The 15,032-nt window shown below is 41.5% G+C and overlaps 1 protein-coding gene across 20 annotated transcripts in view; it reads left to right on the top strand.

Annotated features, from left to right (window-relative positions):
* Window positions 1-15,032, top strand: part of ERC2 (ELKS/RAB6-interacting/CAST family member 2) — a 960,157-nt gene that overhangs the window by 584,147 nt on the left and 360,978 nt on the right. The window lies entirely within an intron of this gene.

Genomic DNA, 15,032 nt, shown 5'->3' with positions numbered 1-15,032 from the left:
TTTGCAAGTGCCTCTTCTTCTGTGAACGTGAACAACCTTCTATGTTGCAAACATAGGATTGCATTATTTTTAATTACTCAATATACTGTCATATAGGTTTACATCATTATTGGGCATCTGTGTCAGTTCCAGTGTTCTGATAAGCATTCTGCTGTTTAATTTTATTTTATTAACATATTTGTAAATACCTGTGGATTGTCAGGCTGCTGCAAGAAATATTATAAAGAGGGTTCTCATATCCTTCAACCATTTCCCTAATTGGTAACATCTTTCATAACTAAAGTACAACATCACATGAGGAAATTGATATTGGTACAATCTACCAGCCTTCTTCAAATTTCTCCAGTTTTACATATCTATTAACATTATTCCAATTTCTCCAGTTTTGTGGTGTTGTTGTTGTTGTTGTTGTTGTTGTTGTTGTTGTTGTTTTGAGACGGAGCCTCACTCTGTTGCCCAGGCTGGAGTGCAGTGGTGCAATCTTGGCTCACTGCAAGCTCTGCCTCCTGGGTTCACACCATTCTCCTGCCTCCACCTCCCGAGCTGCTGGGACTACAGGCACCCACCACCACACCCAGCTAATTTTTGTATTTTTAGTAGAGACAGGGTTTCACCTTGTTAGCCAGGATGGTCTCGATCTCCTGACCTCGTGATCCACCCGCCTCAGCCTCCCAAAGTGCTGGGCTTACAGGTGTGAGCCACTGCACCCGGCCTTAACATTATTCCAATTTATCCAGTTTTACATGCACTTGTGTGTGTGTGTGTGTGTGTGTGTGTGTGTATGTTTAATTATATCCACTTTTATTACATGTGCTGATTTGTGTCACCACCACCACAGTCAAGATGCAGAACTGTTTAATCATCACAATGACCTCTGGTACTATCCTTTTATACTTACATCCACTCTTAGGCTGTTTAATTTTTACCCAAAGTTCTGTTTTGTGTTATATCATTTTGGGACATGTGCCACACTGACCTACATTTTCTCCTACCATTCTTCTTTGGCTTCTCTTATTTTAAATGCCAACTGGATTTAGAGTGAGTAAATATTGCCTGATTCTTCCAATGTAAAGATTTCTCACGATGTGATTTTATTTACAGTGGAATTTTCTTTTAATATTGGATATTGTGAATCTGTCACATGGTAGGCACTCAAAAAGTATTTGAAAAATGAAAGGATGAATTAGTTAAAAAATGTATAAATATTCACTGATGATCTACTATGTGCTAGGTACTCTTTTAGATGAACAAACTTGACCTTGTTGAGCTTGCATTTTAGTAAAATGAGTGAAGGAAATGAATAAACAAATAAGCAAATAAATGAATAGATAAATAGATAAAGTAGTTTCTTATGTAACCAAAGAGGTTTGGAATCCCACTTAGAAAGTCATTTCCAAAGGTAAGGACCCTCTTGTTTATTTGGGGCATGGAGGGACATGGAAAGTGTGGTGTATTTTCCTGTAATGTGGGAACACTTTTAGGAACTGAGGCCAACTTGATTCAAAAGGAGAGCCTTGATTCTATAGTCATCCCTTGGTATCTGTGGGTGATTGGTTCTAGGGCCTCCTTTAGATACCAAAATCCACAGATGCTGAAGTCCCTGATATAAAATGGCATAGTATTTGCATATAACCCACGCACATCCTCCTGTATGCTTTAAATCATCTCCTGCCTTCTTATACCTAATACAATGTAGATGCTATGAAAATAGTTGTTACATTTGTATTGTTTAGGAAATAATAGCAAGAAAAAAAGTCTGTACATGTTCAGTGCAAATGCATTTTTTCCAAAAATATTTCTGATCCGTGGTTGATTGAATCCACAAATGTGGAACCTATGTATACAGAAGTCCAATTGTATACATGTGTATGATTATTTCCCTCAACATTCCTGGCTTAGTCCATTTAGTGTTGCTATAAAGGAATACTGAAGCTAGGTAATTTATAAAGAAAAATGGTTCATTTGGCTCATGGTTCTGCAGGCTGTACAAGGAGCTTGGTGCCAGCATCTGCTTCTGGTGAGGGCCTCAGGCTGCTTCCACTTACGGCAGAAGGGAAAGGAAAGCTGTATGTGCAGAGATCACATGGGGAGAGAGGAAGCAAGGTGGAGATGAGGGAAAGAGCCATGCTCTTTTTAACAATCAGCTCTTTCAGGGAAACTAGCAGAGTGAGAACTCACTCACCCCCAAGGGAGAGGGCATTAATCTATTCAAGGGATTCACCCCACAACCCAAACACCGTTTTCCCATTAGGCCCCACCTGGGATCAAATTTCAATAGGAGTTTTGGAGGGGACAAATATTCAAACCACAGCAATACCCTTCTTCAGTCTGGTCTTTATTGGTTGATATTCTAACTGCCAGTTATTATTCCTCTGCTGGAAGAAACTAACAGTTACCAACCATATATTTTCATAGTACATAATATTCACCTTTCCTTGTGTATAAGATTATTCTTGTACTTAAAATATATCCAAAACTTCTTGCTAAAACATTTCATAATTGTTCAATTTTGTTACATTTACTCCTATTTTAAAGGAATTTTATTAAAAGCATATTAAGAACATCATTTTATGTTTGATTTTATTAATGCCAGCTAATAAGCTTACATTCCAGTAACAAAAGCCCAGTTATTTAATTTATGGCAGGTGGAGTTGAAATCTGTGGCTAAAAGAAATTGAGGGCCATGAGATACAGTACTTAAAAATCTGTGTGCATTTGCTTTGACGATTTAAACTACTATAGTAGTTTAATAGGTAGACAGGCATCCTAATTGATATTTTTCATTTAGTATAAAATGCTAAGTTGAATAAGGGTTTTGATACCTGCTTAATAGTCACATATTTTGAAATGTTTATTTTAGACTTTCTGTGGTGATTTCCTATGCTTATACAAACATTTTCAGCAGGCCCCTTTGTTTTTAACTCATCTGACGATATGGTGCAATTCATCTTAATTTACTGGGTATTGTTGGGTTTTAGACGTCTTCTCCAGATAGCCTCACAAGTCTTTGTATACACTGGATTATTTTAGGACATTTACAGTGAGGTAAGACAGCAGCTTATTCGAGGGCATTATCCTGTTGGCCTCTTTGATCTAAGATCCTTTCTGAGAGAGCCACTCATTAGGTAAGTACCCTTCAAAGGAGAGCAAGGGTGCAGAAATGATAAAATCAATTTATTTTTTACTTCATGCCAACATGAGAAAAGACAAATCACATTTCTTTAGGAAGGAATCCTAAGTGCCTAGCAATTTGGACAGGATAAATGGAGTTTGGGAGAAGAGTTTTGAAGCCAATTGTTACTTAAAATTGATAAACTCAATAAACAAGAGGGTTGTGCTAGCCCACAGAGATCTTATGGGGATTGACTGAGATTATAAATTCATGAGAAAGTGATTTTTAACCCACAAAAGGCTATACATATATTAGTATGTTAGGTACATTCATTACAGTTAGCATACACTAATCCTGTCTTTAATTTACAACTTGGCCTTCTCCATTCAAGAATTTCTTTTTTTTCTTTTTTTTTTTTGCTATAATACTATTCTTTCTTTAACCAGTAGTTTATTGAGAAAAACTTTAACATGTCCAATTTTAAAAATATTAAATACTATGGTAATGTGTCCTAGAATGTCCTGTTTGTCATCTGTTTCTGTTTACTACCTGCTCAGTTCCAACAGGTATTTAAATCAGCTAGAACACTGATAAAGCCTATTGCAGCTTTCTGAGTTACCTGTAGTGAGTCAGGACAGGTAGCAGAGAGGGAAGGAATAAATGTCACAAAAAATGACTCATTCAAAACCAATTTTGGTTTTAGCTGCAGGCAGTGACATAAATGCACAGTTGCTTACTACTCCAGATTTCTGTTTCCTTCTTTTAACTCTGAAGTTGATGGCTTATAGTCTATAGCAAAAACAAAACAAAACAACAAAAAAACTATGCTGAACATAAAACTTATAGTGGGTAAGTAAAACTTAACTATAAAGAAAATAACTTTAGAATAGAGGAATGTTCTAGTTAGCTTCAAATGCAAGAATCAGAAAACCCCACATTCCAGAAGCTCATACAAGTAGCTTTGTAATCACTAGGGACTCACGTTCCTTCTGTCTTGACATTTTGCCATTTTTAGCATTTGCTTGCACCTCTTAGTGTGAGACTTTTGCTTCAGTTCCAGCTATCCAATCCCTATTCCAACCAGCAGAAAGGAGGCACGAGAAAGAAACCTCCCTGTCCTTTAAGTTACACATCCCATCCATTGACATCTGAGTCATTTCACAGTTTATTCAATATTTGCTGAGCATCTGCTATGTGCAAGCACTGTTCTAAGCCCTAGGCAGTTATCTAAGCCCTGTTCTTAGTGAACAGAAAGGACTCTATGAACAAAAATCCTCCTGTTGGTGGAGCTTATATTTTACTAGATGTGAGAACAAGTGTGGGGGAAGGGGCCCACTGGCCAGGGTTTTAAGCCACATGGTCATACTTAGCTTCAAGACCAAGCAGGGAAATATAGCCTTTAGCTGCATTCTGGGAATCCAGTTCTAAGGAAGGAAAGGAAAGAATGGATATTGGGGGCAATTGGCAGTCTCTGACAACATGAATAAAGTGTGAAGAAAAATAGGTCAACTGGTATGTTATGTCACTTAGCAGTAAAAAACAACTTTGCAATTACACCTCTAGTCTATTCCTAACAGACATGTATGTGTATGCATGTATGTTTAGTGCATATCTGAGTTCATTTCTGGGTACCATGGTTGGTAGACTGTGAGGAGGCATGTAGTGAGTGAACAAGTTGAGGTATTCCTGAAAATCTCTTTGTGCTGGGGATAGCTGACCTATAAGGGGTATTAGGTCCAGAGAAGTCCAAGAAGACAGATGCTTCTTTTAACTGTTAAGGAAGTGACTGTAAGAAGAAAACTGGGCTTGATTCATGCTGCCTCAGATGACTGTGCTAGAGTTGGTAGGCAAAATTTGAGAGGAGGAAGATTTTTCTTTTAGTGCAAAAGAACTCTGTAGCAGCAGGAACACTCTCACCTGTTTTGCATGCTGCAGAGGAAATTTTCATCCCAAGTGAAAGGCAAAGGCAATCTCCAAGACCCTCCTGTATGTAATTCCACTAAATAAATGCCCTGTCACGTAGATGAAACTTAGGAAATGCTGGGCTCTTTTTCGTTCCTTCCCTTGAGGGACTTAATTTGAATGCAGAAACTCTGCCAAAAAAAAAAATTAAGAAAAAGAAAAAAAAAGAAAAGAAAAAGAAAGAAAAAAGAAAGTTACTGCATGGTTTAGGACACTGCTCTAATACATCCACAATAGAATTTTCCCTGAATTTTTAGGCATTTATTTTTCATAAAACTCTTAGGTTATTAAATATATGAGCCAAGCAGGGATGTGTTTCATAGCTCATTATAGAGAAATAATTAAAGTGAGTTAAATTGCATGTCAGGTAGAATCAAGAGTCCTTCACTATCCCTGCCTTGAGGAATGTACTATCTTGGATTAAAATGTCTTCAGAGAATTAAATTAGCCCAGGCATATATGCTATCCAGTGCATGCAGACTTTGGGGGATGGGATTAATATTACCAGTGAACACTTATTAAGTACTGATTCCATGGACTAAGTACTTCACCCAGATAGTGCTGTCACCTCCTGTGAGGCGGGGAGTATTATTGCCCCCATTCTGTGGATGGAGACACTGAGGCTCATATATGTGGAACTCAAATACAAGTCTGTTTGACACTATAGTTCACAGTCTTAGCCATTGAGTGCAGTCTTCCAATGAAGAACTTGAGATATCAGTGTAAGAATTTCAAGTGTGGGAATGGTGGCACCAGTTTTAATTAAATAGTAGAAAGCAGTGGGCAGATAGGTGCTTCTTCCCTTTTTTGGGGCAGGAGGACAGCAGGATGGGGAGATGGTGGGAGGAAGGGGGCCTGAGGAGAACTAGTTGGAGAAGGCCTTTGAAGTTGGCTTCCTTATCTTAAAACAAAATAAGGGACACACTGTCTTCCGGCCAAAAACATGCACTGTATGTATAGTTTTAATAGAGAAAAATGTCAGTCAAAAGGGACTTCAGCCTGGTGGTTTTTAATGGAAATACAAACATTTTCTGAGCTAGAGAAGTATAGTCTTTCAGCCTAAATAATCATAATCAGCAGTTAAATAATCTAAATGCTTGTGAATCATAGAGTTTAAATAATTCCAAGCACCATACTTCATGTTATCTCTATCTTCACAGCAGCCGCATGGGGGCTAGGGAAGGTCACCCATTAAGAAAAGGGAAAAGAAATATTCAGGCCTTCCAACCTCCTAAAACATGGTAAGTCAGAGGAGGCAGTCTTGGCCCTTTCTTCCAATCCAAGAGCAGCAACATATTGAAAGAATTCTGACCAGTACCTGATCTAATACTGTAGGGGGCGTTGCCAGATTTAACCCCTTGATGCAAGGGACAGGGCAGCCACATCACACAAAGAAACACTAAGGAGCCGAGAGTACAGAGGAATCACACATCAAATCCTGAAGGAAGAATTATTTATGTAATCTCAGCACTTTGGGAGGCTGAGGCCAGTGGATCACTTGGGCTCAGGAGTTCGAGACCAGCATGGGCAATATGGCAAAACCCTGTCTCTACAAAAAATACAAAAAGTTAGCCAGGCATGGTGTTGTGTACCTGTGGTCCCAGCTACTCGGGAGGCTGAGATGGGAGGATCTCTTGAGCCTGGGAGGTTGAGGCTGCAGTGAACTGTGATTGCATCACTGCACTCCTGCCTGAGTGACAGAGTGAGACCCTGTCTCAAAAAAAAAAAAAAGAAAAAATAAAAATTAAAAAAAGAGAAAAGAAAGAAAAGAAAAAGAATTATCGGTGCAGTGAGGAGAACCCTGAGCACTCTAGTTCATAGCCTGACTCTGCCAGTTGTAGTTGGTTAAGCCCAGGCACGCCTGACCTGGTCTTTCCATCTGTGAACAGGCCTGTGGACTCAGATGATTTCATTAATATTCAGTGATTCTCTGAGGCCTTAATTGGGGGTGGTTTTACCTATCAGGGGAACCTTTGGCAAGGTCTGGAGACATTTTTGGTCATCCCAACTGGAGGGGAGGTGCCACTGCCATCCAGTAGGTAGAGGCCAGGAGGCTGCTAAATATCCTATGACACATAAGGCAGCCCCAACAACAAAGAATTTTCTGGCCCAAAATACCAGTGGTACTGAGGTTGAGGAACCTGTAACTAGCCTCATTTTTTATACTGGTGTTTCTTAAACTAGGGAAGAGAGAAGAGCTTTGTAGGGTCTCATCTCTGATTTAACTTGACTTATTTTCACATGGAACTCACACAGGATATATTTTCCTGTTCAGCACAATGATCAGGCATAGAGGTTGTAGTGGCCTGGGGACTTCCCATTCTGTATAGATGACTTTGACCTCTTGATTCTAGCTTGCTTTCTTGGCATTAAAGACCAGCTCACTATGTAGCTCCCCAGTGGAATTGACACAGTTCTCAGATTCAAATCCTCAGGGGATGGAACTCCCTGTGAGATGTAAACCCTGGCTGGAATCCAAAAGACCTGTTCCATCAATGCCTGCTGCTTGGCAGACAACATAATCCTGTCTAGCTCCAGAATTCCATCATTCTTTAACCTGTGGTTCTTTCTGGTCCACAGTGTGCCCAGCTATAAATTGAGAGTGTGAAATTGGACAGTCCTCAAGGGTTGGGCTGGTCCTGTAAATTGATGCACAATTATAACAGCCCCTTTTACTCTCTTTCCACTTTTGTTTCTCCTTACCATTTGTTCCTTCTTCACAACATCCCTCTGGGTAGCCAGATCTTTTTCTAGGGAAGCACTTCTTACAATGTTCATTTAGACCAGAAAGGATAGAAGAGAAATGAGAACACTGGTGAAGTGAGAACACAGCGCAGGGCCTGTGGGCATCCAAGGGAAACAAACTGCTGCCTGGATGCCAGATGCCTGCCTCAACCATGAAGGGCAGGTCTTGGGCAAATCCCAATTCATAGGGTTTCTCTGCCTTCCTGTAACATTTTCTTTGCCTTGGTAAAATCCAGTCCAAATATTATCAAGTGAAGTCTCAACCCTAAGGATGAAAAGGTAAACCTCAAGATCTATGTCCTCACTGGAACGAGCTATTTCAAAAGGATCCATGTCAATGAAGACTCAGAGGATTTTAAGGGAGGAATAGCATGGAGGTGGGCTTTGAATGTTCTTGGTCCCTCCTAAACATTCAATAAATGTTTGTCAAATGAATGAATGAATGTTGATGAAAATTATACTTTGCTTCTTGCTGGCTGCCTCTTTTTTCTTTCCCCCTTTCTTACCCACTCTCTCTTCTCTTCCACTCCATGTCCTGTTTCTTCTTTTCCTTCCTCTCTTCCTTCTTCTCTTAACTTTTCCCCATCCTTCTCTCTCCTCTTTGTCTTTTTTCCCCCTTTCCTATCCCTGTTCTGGTGCCTTGAAAAGCACAGGGGTTCAAAATGCTTTCTGCATTGTCTCAGCATGGTTATCTTGCTAGATTGTAATTTTGACTTTTGGGCAGGAGGCAGACCAAAGTAGACCAAACATGTGGGAAGAGGGGTGAGAGAGAGAGAGTGTGTGTGTGTGTGTGTGTGTGTGTGTGTGTGTGAATGAGTTTAGGGGCAGAAAAAGAGGGTCTGGCTCTGGCAATTTTGCCTGGGGAATGAGGTGTGTTAAGGGGGACCACTCAGTTCCCAGGAGCAAAGCGATCGAGAACTATAGCTCAAAGCCAAGCTGCCAGTCAAGTGGGACAAGTCTTTTGTGTTCCAGTCACGGAATTTGGGAACCAACAGATTGTGAAAATTGAAATGCAGTGTTTGACTTGATCTTTTGGTTAAGCCAGTTCCCTGGGATCTTAATTCGAACCTGCAGGAAGCTGAGGCCAACTCTGAGAGTCTGCTATTACCTCACCCCTGATGCTTCACTTACTTGAAGACATTTGCAGAGTGCACTGCAGCCAGTGCCAGCATGCAGTTATGATAACAGTTCAATTGCTGTCATTCCACTCTATTTTGAAATTGGTGTTTTTGTGTTCAGTTCACTGAGCCCTGAGCTTGGAGCTTCTTTCTCTTCCTGGCTCTGCCTCTGGAAGTTTTCTTGGAAAATGTTCCCTTCAATGTATTTTCAAGGCTCCTGTCAACTAATGCTTTATTATAAGGCAGTGTGGGATTGGGTAGGCCCAGTGGTTATTCTCTGCTTCCCCTCTCCTGGTCATTTTTCCTGGAAGCTGACTGCTGTGAGCAGCATCACTGGGGATCCCTTGCTGGCTGACTCTGGGGAGGGTCTGGGGCCAGTAAGAGGCACTTCAGGTGATGGGAGAGGTGGAAGAGAAAAAAATCTAGAGGATTTTCTCCCTCTTCCCTTCTTGCTTTGGGGCCACATCTCTGGCCATAGCAGCTTCTCTCCATGACTGTAGCTCCCTCTCAGCAGTGCCCATTCATGGCTCCCAGTGTCGCTGGGATTGATTCATTTCTCCCTTTGCTCCTTCAGCCTGATACGTGGTAACGGCTGTCCAGTGTTGCTAGCGTCTGGATGCCTCAAGGTCTCATTTCTTTCATTAACCCTGCCCACCCCTACTTCTGTAGCTTCTCCATGGAAGTCTCCTCATTGGAATCATCTGTGGCGAATTCTGTTCTCTTCAGGACTCAGACCAGTACAGTGGGGAAGGCCATGGTGCCGCGGTCAGATACATAAGATTTGTTAGAATGACTTAACAAATCATTGTTAAATCATTCTAACAAGTGTTAGAATATGTTGCTAGAAAATGTTTACATTTCTCATATTAAGTAATTCCAGGAAAATAAGCTGATTGATACTAAAGTCAAAGCACCAAAACAAAACCACCATTCTGTGGTTTTGTAAAGAAGAATGGCTTTCAAATGACCCTTCAACATGAATGACTGCTGCTGCTCCTACCTTAGAAAGATGTGGGGCTGGAGTTGCCAGAGCCAGTCTCAGTTTTGGGTCAAGTGAAAACACCCCCATACTCCTTCCATGTACAAAGAAAAGCCTCCCCGCCTTATTCTTCAGCCTAGAGAAAGTTGGTTTGACTGAGTTTCTTGAGACAGAAGCAAAGAGAACATTCTAGGAGTCCCTGGCCAAGTACAAGTCAACTGCCTCCAAGGTATGGGTAGCATTCTTTGAGGCAAGCTCAGAGCATTTTTGGTTTCCAGGAAGCTGAAGGCAATTGCAGCTTTTTGTTGCAACTGCTCTAATGCAACACACTAGACTGAGGTCAGGCAAGCTAAGCGCTCCTTCTCATGGATTCAGTCATTTGTTTAGTCACTGACTCATTCATAAAACAAATCATGCTGGGAAGTCAGTTATTTCTTGAGAGAATAAACAAATATTTATTTATTGACTACCTAGTTAACAGTCTAATGTCCAGTCAAAGGATGAGACATCAGAATGCAGAATGACAGCTGGGTAAGTGTATGAAAGAGGAGAGGTCCCTGGACCCATGCTTCCTGAAGGCACCCTGAGATGTGTCTGGGAGCTACATTAGGTGAAGGGGTGGGGATGGTGGGTGGGGTCAAGGGGAGTTTGTCCATAAGAGAGGATCTGCCTATGCAAAGGCCCTGTGGCAGAAGGACTGACTTGCCTTCTGTTTGCTCAGTGGAGGCCTGTGTGACTGGAGCATAGAGATCAAAGGGGAAAACTAGATTGGTTGAGGCTGGAGAGGTGGGCAGAGGCCAGACCACCCAGGGCCTTGGGGCCATCATCAGATTATTCATGTTTATCCTAAAGCAGAAACTCATTGAATGGAAATGACATGACTGGATTGTGTTTTGAAAATCATAACAAATAACTACAGTGTAAAGATCTTTATATATATCAATTCATTTAATCTTCACAACAACCTTCCAAGATAAGTACTGTTATCATCTCTATTTTACATTTCGGGCAACAGAGGCTCAGAGAGGTTAAGTAACTAGTCCCAGGTCATACAGCAAAGGTGGGATTTGAACCTCTCAGGATTGTCCTGTGGTTTGGCCATGTGTTTAACAATGGCACCACCCTGCCTCTGGCTTTTGTGAGGAGAATACATTTGGATGTGGGCACACTAGAAGCATGACCCTCTTTTTCCTTTCTTCCTGCCCACTCTGCATTGGCTCCCATCAACACTTCCATCATTCCATGCAGGAGAGCTGTGGGGGAATTATTTTGGCAAATGTTGCTCTAGTCCAGGGTTTCTCAGGGCAGCCCTGTTGAGATTGAGCTGGATAATTCTTTCTTGTGGGGCCTATCCTGTGTTTAGTAGCATTCCTGGCCTCTGCTCATTAGATGACAGTGTCAATTTCCCTCCCCCAGTTGTGACAATCAGAAATGACTCCAGACATTACCACCAGAAGTTTTCTAGAGGGCAAAATCACCCCTGTTTGAGAACAGCTGGTCTAGTCCTAGCCTGTATCTGTCTGTTGTTTCTCACCTTGGACCTGTGGCCCAGCTCTTTCCTGAAATATGGACCTTGAGCCGGTGTATTAGTGGCACTAGTAGAGTTTTAACACTGGCTCATGCCCAGCACCTCTGGAGGCAGAGGGGCCCAGACCAGGTAGATTCAGAAAGCTTAGAGAGGAGCGTTTTCCACTATTCAGCCTTTGGTGGTATATCCTGGACACTTGGCCATCAATCAGAGCCGTTTTCTTTTCTCTGGGGACATAAACCTTTTCAGTTCTATGCAACTGATTCCAATATGAACCTTTTATAATCTACTGTCATGTCTGGGCATTGCCTCTCAAATTTCTGGAGAACTATTTCCTAAATAGCTACGAAGCTTTCCTTTGCAGGCTTTCATTTGTTGAGAAGGCTTTTCTATTGAAGTTAAGTAAACTGCATTTGCAAAGCTGAGTTTCTCAAATGCCTATATTTGGAGAACAGACTTTTAAGTAATTTTGGTTAATTAAGAATCCCCTAGTAAATCCTATTTTTTTAGAAATTGCCATGAGAAGCCTGCATGGAAGCCTGGCATCCATGCGGATATGTGGAGAGAAACACACAAGCCCTCAAATGAGGTATGACCATGAGTCTGGTGTTGATGAGTAGTGGTTTCTCTTCCTCCAAAGGCAGGAGATGCCTCTGTAGAATGGAGTGGAGTATTCCTAGGAACACCATCTCTTCCCTGTTGGGCCAATGGGCTTGGGTAAATTACTGTTAATTTTTAAAATGTCAATTATATACTAAAGTAAAGTGAACCCCCACATGACCTCCATCCAATTTCAGCGATTATCAGCTCATTGCCAGTCTGTTTCCTTTCTATTCCCCACTTCCTTGCCTCATCCCTAGATTATTTTGAAGCAAAACTAAGATATTATGTCATTTCATCTGTAAATATTTCAGTATAAACATTATTTTTTCAGATAAACATCTTGACACCAAATTACAAACTCTTTAAAGTAGAGGTGAATTCTAATGAAGACCTTTCCCCCTAGAGTTGAAACCCTCTGGCACCCAAATATGAAAGGCTTAGATTTTAATTTTTTAAAAAATATTGCTGTAAAACAGCAAAATGGACCATTTGGTGGTATTATATGGGGAAATCAGAAGGATTACACCACTGACACATTCCTTAATTGATTTTGGCTCTATTCTTTGAGGATTTTGCTTAAGTCTTGATGTCCCAGGGTTGACATAATTACATCTTCGTTAGAGTTTTGTTATCTCTTTATGATTATTGACATTTCTGCATATAAATTCCTGTCTCTTTTCAACTTCTTGGCCGAATGGTGCCTCTTCCGGATTTTGAAGAAACAACTTTCAGAGTGTGAACTTGAACTGATCATTGGTCACATTATCTACACCTAAGGGTTCTTGGATGCTGATTAATGGTAGCTTTTCTGCAGAGAATGAAACTGAGATTAAGCCTTCTTTGTAGGGAAATTAAACACCTGAATCTCTGGTGAGGTCTGAACATAAGCCACTCAGCTTCTTGCACTGTTTTTCTTAAGCATCACATTGGCTTACCCCCAAAACCACCTGTTTTATTGGGAAAAAATTCACTTCTTCATGGTTGCTTGCTCTGGAGCATTAATTAATTCAACTCTCATTTATTGAGCAATAACTGAGGACCTCCCACTGTACTAGATGTTGATCCAGTCATGGCTTAGTCCCAGCTTTCTGGGAGCTTACTCCAGTATTGATTATTTGAATGTCTATTGTACATCCAACTTTGACACCACTTTGGTGATTTGTGGGGTCAGTGGGGTGGTTTCCATATCCAAATATCCCTCAATTAGGTAACCAGGGATATCACTGGGTTGAGCTAGATTTTTGTGTTGGGCTTGAATTGACTTTCAAATCTGTTTGCTCTAGAGAGGATTGATTCAAAATGCCGTAACAGCTGGGTCAGGAACTTGAGCAGCATTCTAGCCCTGGCTGCAATGGAAGCTAGGGAGAGAAGGTATCTGAAATGGGGTGAGAAATGTGAAGGCCACAGTCCCACACCAAAACAGACTTTGCGTCCATCACAGTTCTGTTGAGAGTTGGCTTTGAGCCAAGGAAGACTGAGTGGTGACAATTAAATGTCGTCATGGAAACAGTGTTTCTGCTCTGTAATCTCATCCGTTGGTGTTCCTTAACTCCTTGGGCTCCTTAGCCCCCTGGGAATGGGTCTCTTAGTATCTGCTTGACCCCTGGGTGATGAGGGTTGCATTAGCACGAGGGTAAGTGTCCAGGCTTCAGGGGATCAAATGACTTGGATTTGAATCTTGGCCCTACACCTGCTCTGCTGGCTCTGTGACCTTGGCCAAGTGTGTAAATCACATTCCCTCCCCTGTGGGATTCTTCTGAGCATTAAATGAGTTGGTACATGTAAAACACTTAGCATGGATTGCTAAGACTTGCTAAGTAGCAAGTCTTAATAAATCTACTTAACATTGAGGGAACTCATTCCTTCTTCAGAGAACTCTGTCTCTTGAAAAGTCTACCCTGCCGGGTATGGTGGCTCATGCCTGTAATCCCAGCACTTTGGGAGGCTGAGGCGGGAGGATCACTTGAAGTCAGGAGTTTGAGACCAACCTGGCCAACATGATGAAACCCCATCTCTACTAAAAATCTAAAAATTAGCCAGGCGTGGTGACGGGCGTCTGTGGTCCCAGCTACTCAGGAGGCTGAGGCAGGAGAATTGCTTGAACCCAGGAGGCAGAGGTTGCAGTGAGCTGAGATCATACCACTGCACTCCAGCCTGGGTGACAGAGTGAGACCCTGTCTCAAAAAAAAAAAAATTGTACTCTTTTTTATACTATAACAACTTTATCATTTCACCTCCTGGTTCTTTGGTTCTTTTACATTTGCTTTTTGAGGCCACTGATGTATTCGGTTTTTCACAACCCTTGAGTGTTTAGGACAGTTCTGTCCTCTCCTCTTGTCAATACACTCTATGCTGCAGAATCTTCTCGCCTCTCTGTGAAAGTGTCGGTTCCCCCTTCTCTTCTTGTGACGGGTTTTGAAGATTCATCTCCTTTGGATATTGTGCATTCTTTCTCTGTGCATTCCACAAATAGTTACTGGGCATCTTCTCTGGGAGGGTGCTGCATCTGGCCCTAGTGACATGGTCCCTGCCTAGTCGAGCTCACACTCTAATAAGGAAGTTGGTGGGATAAGCTGGTAATTATAATACAGGGTGGTAAGTGCTCTGGGAAGGAAAGACCAAAGACCTGGGTATCATGGGGCTTTCCAGATGGGAAGGAGTCATGTGGTTGAGGAATGCTTTCAGGAGGGAGGGTCATTTCAACTGAGACTACGACCTGTGTGGTGGAAGAATTTGGGGAGGTAAAGAAGGGGGGACAGAAGAATGGTTTCATATGGAACCCATAATCAAAAAAATATTCAAATGGTGAATAAAAAGAATTTGATGATTAAACAGATGGAGTCTTGCTAAAAGTTCAGAACAGTTCTGGAAGGTTCTGCTGAAAGCTGTCATTTGTATGAGGGGAGGAGAGGAGGTTCCAAAATGTCATCTCCGTAAGTAGGCAATAATAGATAATCTTCTACCACAACATCCTTGACTCCTAAC

This window comes from Homo sapiens, chromosome 3 (assembly GCF_000001405.40).
Source record: "Homo sapiens chromosome 3, GRCh38.p14 Primary Assembly".
NCBI lineage: Eukaryota > Metazoa > Chordata > Mammalia > Primates > Hominidae > Homo > Homo sapiens.
The sequence above is the reverse complement of the archived record's forward strand: the minus strand, read 5'-3'. Positions and strand labels throughout refer to the sequence as shown.